The 9649-nt window shown below is 42.4% G+C and overlaps 1 annotated feature.

Moving 5' to 3' along the window:
* Positions 8858-9152: a silencer, noted in NCBI's record as "tiled region #9233; K562 Repressive non-DNase unmatched - State 24:Quies". NCBI's record gives its function as "represses a minimal TATA promoter and a strong SV40 promoter by Sharpr-MPRA in K562 cells {active_cell/tissue: K562}" and the evidence as "EXISTENCE:reporter gene assay evidence [ECO:0000049][PMID:27701403]".

Below are 9649 nucleotides of genomic sequence, written 5' to 3'. Positions count from 1 at the left end.
GGAAGGAAGGAAGGAAGGAAGGAAAGAAGGAAAGAAGAAAGGAGAGAAGGAACCTACAGAAGCAGAAGGCAGATTAGTGCTCTCCAGGGTTTAGAAACAGCTGCTGTGGAGGTGTGGGTAAATGCAGTAATGTATTAGGCCAGGCGCCGTGGCTCACACCTGTAATCCCAGCACTTTGGGAGGCCGAGGCAGGTGGATCACTTGAGGTCAGAAGTTCGAGACCAGCCTGGCCAACATGGCAAAACCTTGTCTCTACTAAAAATACAAACATTAACCAGGCATGGTGGTGCACTCTCAACTACATGAGACTAGAGGCTGAGGCAGGAGAATTGCTTGAACCCAGGAGGCGGAGTTTGCAGCGAGATCGCACCACTGCACTCCAGCCTGGGCAACAGGGCAAGACTCCATCTCAAAAAAAAAAAAAAATCCAGTAAGATTTGCTCATATTGAATACAAACTGAGTCTCAGAGAAGTTAAGTGACTTGTTTAATGTCATCAAGCTGGAAACGTGCCAGCATCAACAGTATTCTAAAACTGTCTTAACTCCTCCATCCTGTGCATCCTCTAGCACTGCTGAGCCCTGCTGTGTCTGCAGGAGTTCAGCATGGTGGCTACCTAAGACAGCAAAGCCTCCCTTCTCAGATAGGCAAAATGTTAAATAACACCAATCCAGAGGCACGTCTGTCTGCAGTCCATTATTCGGGGGCATTCCCTTTGCTTCCTGCTAAAAAATGAAATATTTCCTGCTGACATAACATTGATCCTGAGCCCTGGATGGTTAATGGATTAAGTATGTTTGGGTGTCAATCATTGTCAAGAGGTCTTTGAATAAAAGCTAAATTACTTGGCTACATTCACTCTATATTTTCTACATACCCTTTTTCTAGAATAAGGAAACAATTTGCTTGTGATATTTAATAAAGGCAAACAGCACTTCATTAATATGTTATCATCAACACTGCCATCTGTCCCATCAGCCAACATAACCAGCCAGGAAGCTGGAGGGATATAGTTAGGGTACATATATTGGTTATATATATATATATATATATATATGTGTGTGTGTGTGTGTGTGTGTGTGTGTGTGTGTGTGTGTGTGTGTGTATGTAGAGAGAGAGAGAGAGAGAGAGAGGCTATATTGGCTACATATAGGACATATGTAGCCAATTAATTCAACTTTTATTCAAAAACGCCCTGACAATGATTGACATCCGAACATGCTTAATCCATTAAGTGTCCTGGGCTCAGGATCAATGTTTTGTTCAAATCTCAGCTCTCAGGCTTACTCCATGAACCTAGGACAACTTTCAACCTTCAAATTCTTTGATTCTCCATGTCCACGACTGGAAATGGGAATAGTTGCAACCCATCATGCCGCTTTGATGATTTAATGAGATACTAGAAAGTTTCCATCTAACACAATCCTTGACGTAATTTAAGTGCTCAGTCCCTGCTAAAAGCACACATCAGCTTAGAGTTGTTGATGGCCTGCAGGCATCAGGGAAAGCAGGCTTGAAAAGATACCCATGCAAAGACACATCCTCAAAATAGATCCCATCACTAGATCTATTCATCAAGCCTGTTTCAATGGTGTGCATGTTTCCCTGCTATTGGCCTCTTCAACCCCAGAAAAGGTCATGAACTATATCCCTCCAGCTGCCCGGCTTGTTACGTCGGCTGATGGGACAGATGGCAGTGCCGATGATAACACATTAACGAAGTGCTGTTTGCCTTCATTAAATATCACAAGCAAGTTGTTCTTTTATTCTATAAAAAGGGTGTGTGGAAAATATAGAGTGAATGTAGCCAATTAATTTAGCTTTTATTCAAAACCCCCCTGACCATGATTGACACCCAAACATGCTTAATCCATTAACCATCCTGGGCTCAGGATCAATGTTTTGTCAGCAGGAAATATTTCATTTTTTAGCAGGAAGCAAGGGGAAGGCCTCTGAATGATGGACTGCAGACAGACATGAAACTGCCTTTGCAAAATTATGACTGAGACGGTGAAAGAGATCTAATTTAACTGAATCCGTCCTGCTTCTAACCTCCAAGCTGTCTTTGTTTGTTCCTGGGCATAGGCTGAACTAACAACTTTGGGAGAAACTTAGTTTGTAGTTTATAGTTTAAACAAAGACGGTAATCACCCTTCCCAAAGCAGACATCCTTCTTGCCTGGGGACTAGACTAATGTTAGCCACAGGACTAGAAATGATGGTTTAGGAGTCATGCAGCTGGAGACTACAAGATTCTGACCCTCCCTAAACTCCTCCTAAGATCAGGGCTCAAGATATTTTGTAGACCCTGAACTTGATGGATCAGTTGGCACCACCCAAATTAATAAACTGGCTTGTCTGATTTTGTAGCCCTCAGCCAGGAACTGACTCAGTGCAAGAAGACAGCTTTACTCTCTACGATTTCACCCCTGACCAGTCAGTATCCTGGCTCACTGGCTTCCCCCCACCCACCAAATTATCCTTAAAAACTCTGCTCCCCGAATGCTCGGAGAGACTGATTTGAGTAATAATAAAACTCCGGTCTCCCGCACAGCCGGTTCTGCATGGATCACTCTTTCTCTATTGCAATTCCCCCGTGTTGATGAATTGGCTCTGTCTAGGCAGTGGGCAAGGTGGACCCTTTGAGTGGTTACAGACGGGCCTCAGGATTGGTGTTATTTAATATTCTAAAATACCTGATCTGGAGGATTTTTTTTTCAATGAAATCGTTAAATCTGCAGATGATGCTTAGCTCTTCTGAGTTGAAATTATCAAGAGAAATTGATGAGCTAAAGATGCTCTCACAAGATGCATAGGAAAAAAAAACAGAAGCTAGATTTCATTGTTAATAAGTGCATGTTGCTGCACGTTAAGAAAGAAACGATTCAGATAGTTTCGGAACAAGATGTAAGCACTGTTAGAGACATCACACAAAATGGCAAGAAAATGTAGACCCGTAATCAGGAAAATAAAACTTGAAAACACATTTCCAGAGTAGTGTCTATGTGTGTATACCTGGATAACAAATGCTCTTGGGTGATTTATGTTATCAGAAATGCATGCTTATGCCTAATAAAAAAATGCCTTAAATGTTATTTATTTATGTCCATTTTTATTAGGAAAATTTCAAATATACAAAAATAGGAAAAGGGAGCATTCAAGCCAATTGTTTCTAATTGTATCTGTTGTTGGGTATCTATAAAGTTGTGCATATGTGTTAATTGGCCAGATTTAGTCATTCTGCAGCATAAATACACTTAAAACATCATGCTGTACGGATTTATACATATGATTTTATCTGCCGATGTAAAAAAAGGAAACTGAATTTAAGAAAATACTTCTGAGGCTCTCTCTGTCCACTGGCCTAAAAATATCAACAATAAACCAATAAAACAAACGATGCTGGAGATGGTGGCTGCTCTAGCAGGCTGGATCTGAGTGAAAACAGTGGCCAGAACGTTCCAGCCTATCTGAGTGAACAAGTAGTAGGACCGACAGAGGGAAATGTCATTTTTTTTTTTTTTGAGACAGAGTATCGCTCTGCCACCCAGGCTGGAGTGCAGTGGCGCCATCTCAGCTCACTGCAACCTCCACCTCCCAGGTTCAAACAATTCTCCTGCCTCAGCCTCCTGAGTAGCTAGGATTACAGGTGCACACCACTATGCCCAGCTGATTTTCATATTTTTATTAGAGGCAGGGTTTCACCATGTTGGTCAGGCTGGTCTTGAACCCTGGACCTTGTGATCCGCCCGCCTTGGCCTCCCAAAGTGCTGGGATTACAGGCCTGAGCCACTGTGCCAGGCCAGGAAATGTCATTTAAATCACCGAGGCCAGAGGGCTGTTTGTTCCAGCAGTGTTACTCACCCACTTCTGACTGAAAGATGGTTTTGGCAGTTTGATGGTGGCATCTTTACACAACAATAGCAGAATTTAGAAGGGCAGTGGGTGGAGGTGGGAGGTGTGGTCCTTTTGTTTGTCTCTGTATCTTTATTGCAGAAGAAAAAGAAGTCCTCGCACTCTCAGAAGAAGTCTCTTCACATCTCACTGGCTGCAGTTGGGTTATATATCTAAGCCCTAACTGCCAGAGAAGTTGGAAAGGGCATGTCTGTCACATCATTGAAATCACCTTTGCAAAAATTATGCCAGTGAGAAAATTATGGCATTGTGGGAGATCTGATCGAGCCAAGGCTGCTCTGGCCTTCAGCCTTCAAGCTGCCCTTAATTATTCCCGGGCTTAAGCAAAACTAATTTTGGGAGACATTTAGTTTATAGTTTACACGGTAATAGCACTTCCCCAAACTCAACTGCCTGTATAAAGCTAACGAGAGGCCACCAGGCTGGGAGGATAAAGGAGGCTGAATTCTGCTAAGGTGTAGCTATAAACAATTGCCAGCCATTATTCTGGAGGTCACAAGATATGCAAATTCCCAGTTACTCCTGCAGATAATATCCCTGCTGGAGAACCTAGGATTGGCCTTTTGAGATACCTTTATAGTTTTTTTGCATGTCTGACACAGATGACTCCACCTGGACCTCCCAACTGCTCCTGTGACCCCACCCAGAAGCAACCCAGTTCACTGGAGTACCATTTCCCACACCCCTGTGATTGCACCCCAACCAATCAGCAGCAGGCACCCATTGCCTAGCCACCCCCGCCCCTTCCCCAAATTACCTTTGAAAAATCCTAGCCCCCAAATGCTTGGGGAGATTGATTTGAGTCATAACTCCGTCTCCTGTATGGCATGGCCAGCCTCACATCAATTAAACTCTTTACTGCAATGCCCAGCCTCTGTGAATTGATTTTGTTTGTGCAGTGAGCAGAAAGAACACTTCAGGCAGTTACATTTCCTTTTCTTTTCTTTTTTTTTTTTTTTTGAGACGAAGTTTTGCAATCTTGGCTCACTGCAACCTCTGCTTCCCAGGTTCAAGCGATTCTCCTGCCTCAGCCACCCGAGTAGCTGGGATTACAGGCACCCGCCACCAAGCCTGGCTAATTTTTTGTTGTTGTTGTATTTTTAGTAGAGATGTGGTTTCATCATATTGGCCAGGCTGGTCTTGAACTCCTGACCTCAGGTGATTCACCCGCCTCGGCCTCCCAAAGTGCTGGGATTGCAGGCTTGAGCCACCGTGCCCGGCGGCAGTTACATTTTCTATAGCCTTCTATAGTGGGAAAAGTGATCTTCCAGAAAAGTAGAGGCGGGCTGGCAGTTGAGTGTGCAAACAGGACCGACCACAGCATTAGATGTGTAAGTGAATAGGAGGAGGGGAGGCTTAGTGGTTAAAAGCTTGGGCTTTGGAGAATGTCTTAGTTCAGGCCACTGGAACAAATGACCACAGACTGTGACTTACGAAAAACAGAAATGTGTTTTTCACAGTTCAGGGGGCTGGATATTTGAATTAGGGTTGGGATGATCAGGTTCTAGAGTGAGCCCTCATAGGGGCTGCAGACAGCCGTCTTCTCCCTGTGTCCTCACGTGGCTGAAGGAGCACTGCAGAGCTCCCTGGAGTCTTTTCTGCAGGTAGTCTCAGAGATGTTTGAACCAGAGCGACCATCTTGAGTAGGGGCTGGGTACAATGAGGCTGCATTCCTAGGTGGTTAAGGCATTCTAAATCATAGGATGAGATAGGTGGTCCACACAAGATACAGATAATAAAGACCTTGCTGATAAAACAGGTTGCAGTAAAGAAGCTGGCTAAAACCCAACAAAACCAAGATGGTGATGAGAGACCTCTGGTCGTCCTCACTGCTACACTCCCACCAGCACCATGACAGTTTACAAAATGCTGTGGCAACATCAGGAAGTTACCCTATGTGATCTAAAAAGGGAGGCATGAATAATCCACCTCTTGTTTAGCAAATAATCAAGAAATAACCATAAATATGGGCAACCCGCAGCCCTCGGGGCTGCTCTGTCTGTGGAATAGCCATTCTTTATCCCTTTACTTTCTTAATAAACTTGCTTTCACTTTACTATATGGACTCACTCTGAATTCTTTCTTGTGCAAGATCCAAGAACCCTCTTTTGGGGTCTGGATCTGGACCCTTTTCCAGGAACAATAGGGCACTAATTTCATGGGAACTCCATCTACCTTCACGACCCAATCACCTCCAAAGGCCCCATCTTGTAATATGATTGCTGGGAGGTTAGTATTTCAACCTCTGAATTTGGAGGAGGTACAAACATTTGGTCTCTAATGGAGATAGTCACTTCTGGGTTTGAATTCTGATCTCTCAACTCAGTAGTGCCATAACCCTGGGAAAATCACTCTGAGCCTCAGTCTTTTCATCTATAAAGTGCAGAGATAATTACAGTGTATCTCATAGGTTTGTGGGAAGAGTTAAATGACTCAAAACATGCAGAGTGGACAGTCCCAGTGCCCATCAACTGAGACTGCAAGCAGAAAGAGAAAGAGGAGAAAAGCTGAGACCTGCTGTGTGGCAGGCAGGGTGTAAGGCACTTCCTAAGTCATATTACTTTTCCTCTTGTCATTAAAATAACCCTCTGAGGAGCAATGTGACCCAACACTGTCACTTACCCAGGAAATCTAGTAACACGCTCCTAACACACAGAAAGAACACTGAGGGAGGAAAGGGCAGCAAGGATCAGCGCACAGGAAAATCATTAGGCAAAGCCTTCATTAGGCTGGTTAGATCATTGATCTTAAGAGAAAAGTTTAGCCAATGGGAAAAGATTCAACTTGGAGGTGTAAACACAAATTCTATGGGGTTGAATGAATAGAGAGGCCGTAGTGGTTTTGTTCTTGTTTTGAGATGGAGTTTCACACTCATTGCCGAGGCTGGAGTGCAGCAGCGTGCTTTGGGAGGCTGAGGCGGGTGGATCCACGAGGTCAGGAGATCGAGACCATCCTGGCCAACATGGTGAAACCCCGTCTCTACTAAAAATACAAAAAATTAGCCAGGCATTGTGGCACGTGCCTGTAATCCCAGCTACTCAGGAAGCTGAGATAGGAGAATCACTTGAACCCGGGAGGCGGAGGCTGCAGTGAGCTGCGATAGTGCCATTGCACTCCAGCCTGGGCAACAGAGCAAGACTCCATCTCAAAAAATAAATAAATAAATAAGATAAATGAGTTTTTCTAAAGTTATGTGTGGCATTTGAGGGAATGGTCATTGTATTATCTTCCATTCAATTTTTAAACAGTTTTCTTGAGTTATAATTTATATACCACACAATGTACCCAACTAAAGTACAAACTTCAATTTCTTTTCTTGCTTTTCTTTTCTTTTTCTTTTTTCTTTTTTTTCTGAGATGGGGTCTCACTCTGGGGTATTCAATTTCTTTTCTTTTCCTTCCTTCATTCCTTCCTTCCTTTTTCTTTCTTTCTTTCTTTCTTTCTTTCTTTCTTTCTTTCTTTCTTTCTTCTTTCTTTCTCTTTCTCTTTCTTTCCTTCTTTCTTCCTCTCTCTCTTTCTTTCTTTTCTTTTCTTTTCTTTCTTTCTTTCTTTCTTTCTTTCTTTCTTTCTTTCTTTCTTTCTTTCTTTCTTTCTTTCTTTCTTTCTTTCTTTCCTTCTTCCTATCTTTCACTTAAAGGTGAAAGAAACATACGTTCTTTCACCAGGATGGAGTGCAGTGGTGCAATCAGAGCTCACCGCAGCCTCCACCTCACCAGATGACCCTTCTTCCTCAGCCTCCTGAGTAGCTGGGAATACAGGTAGGTGCCATCATGCCTAGCTAATTTTTGTATTTTTAGTAGAGACGGTGTTTCACCATGTTGCTCCAGGCTGGCCTTGAACTCCGGTCTCAAGAGATTTGCCCGTCTCAGCCTCCCAAAGTGTTGGGATTACAGGCATGAGCCATCATGTCCAGCTTTTTTTTTTCTTTTTCTTTTCCTTTTTTTTTAGATGGGATCTCATTCTGTCACCCCGGCTAGAGTGCAGTGGCGTGATCACTGCTCACTGCAGCACCCATTTCTGTGTTTGATTTTTTTTTTTTTTTTTTTTTAGTAAATTTAAAAAGTCGTACAGATAAGACTACAATCTAATTTTAGGACATATTTATCACCTAACAAAAAAATACCCATTAGTATTCATCTCAAATCAAATCCCTCCTGACTCCATTTCCTGACAATCATTAATGTACCTTTGCTACTGTAGGTTTGCCTCTTCTGGACATTTCCTATACATGGGGTGATGTGGTCCCTGGCCTTGTGTGTCTGGCCTCTTTCACTCAGTATGATGTGTTCTAGGTTCATTTCCAGCATGCATTGGTACTTCTCTCCTTCCGGCTCTAGATAATATTCCGCTGTAGCGATACACTACCCTTCGTTTATCCATTCACCTGTCCGTGGGCATTAAGGTTGCCTTCACTTTTTGACTATTATAAATATTGCCACTATGAAGTCCATGTAGAGTTTTTGTGTGGCTCTATATTTTTCATTTATTTTGACATTCAGTGTTTAAGCAACTTTTTCTCCTTTTACGATTGAAATAAATACGTTTTTCCACCATGGCTGGTTTTTTTTACCTATAAGTTTTAAATCTTTTAATACTTTTAATTGACTTCTAACAATAAAATTCTACTTGTTGCAATAAGCAGATGAATCGCTCTCAAAATTGCGTCAATAAGATAAATTTCATTTTTATTTTCATGGCACTCTTTCATGTCAAAAGTAGAAGATATTGTTAGACATAATTGAAATCTCTGCCCATTTGTGTCCCTGAATAATGAAAACCCTCTCATGTGTCTAGACCTGGTCATATTTAATTTAAAGTATTGCAATGATTCATTTATTTGGTTTCATGCCTTGTAATTATACTCAAATGTTGCATCAAAAGGGTGAATTTTCTGAGAATAGAAAGCCTCAGACTCAATGAAAACAAATAATTGAAATGCAAAACACGAGGCCCTTCCTTCACTGAAGTGTAAGATGAAGCTTTCCAGGTGGGGGCAATGGTGCCAGCCTCATGTGCAAACCCAGGGTGTCCGTGACACGGTTCTCAATCCCCAGTCCCCATAAGGCACCCCCACCCACTGAGATCTGCAGGAGGCATTACAATTGCAAGGAAGGGGTGGTGGGAATAAGAATGGGTTTGCTTTTACTGGGTCATGGAGACCCTGAAGGCCTGACCAATCATCTTAAAAATGCAAATATGGAGAGGAAATTGAGGATCATTTTCACCTTAACTCCTGTGACTCATAGAAGGGGCACCAGGAACCCAAGCCGGTGGAACCCTCAGCAGCCAGGACATAGGTGGCTTGGGCTGCTTTACAGAGGTAGATTGAGTCAAGGAATCTGGGGAGTAAATAATATTTCAGGAAATTGTTCAGACCACTTCCAAGCACTATATACCTTCTGGGAACATTTTGGAAGCAGTCATTTAGTGTAAACAGCAAGTAGCTACCCAGCATTTTTATGTATTTATCAAAAATGTTCTACAGAGACTTTTCTAGTGAAAACATCCTCACAACATTTAAAGCTTCTATGTTCTTTGCTGCTGCTTTCACTTAAAGGTGAAAGAAACACCTACACATTCCTAAATATTTTATAAAGACCTTCATTCATAGTCATAATCATGTAGTCTAAATTTTACTCTAATTAGTTCACCATTTGTACATAAGGTGACAGCCATTCATAAAACAAAAACAAAACAAAGCATACACACACAAAATCCCCACGAGACTTCCAGATA

This window comes from Homo sapiens, chromosome 12 (assembly GCF_000001405.40).
Source record: "Homo sapiens chromosome 12, GRCh38.p14 Primary Assembly".
Classification (NCBI taxonomy): domain Eukaryota; kingdom Metazoa; phylum Chordata; class Mammalia; order Primates; family Hominidae; genus Homo; species Homo sapiens.
The sequence above is the reverse complement of the archived record's forward strand: the minus strand, read 5'-3'. Positions and strand labels throughout refer to the sequence as shown.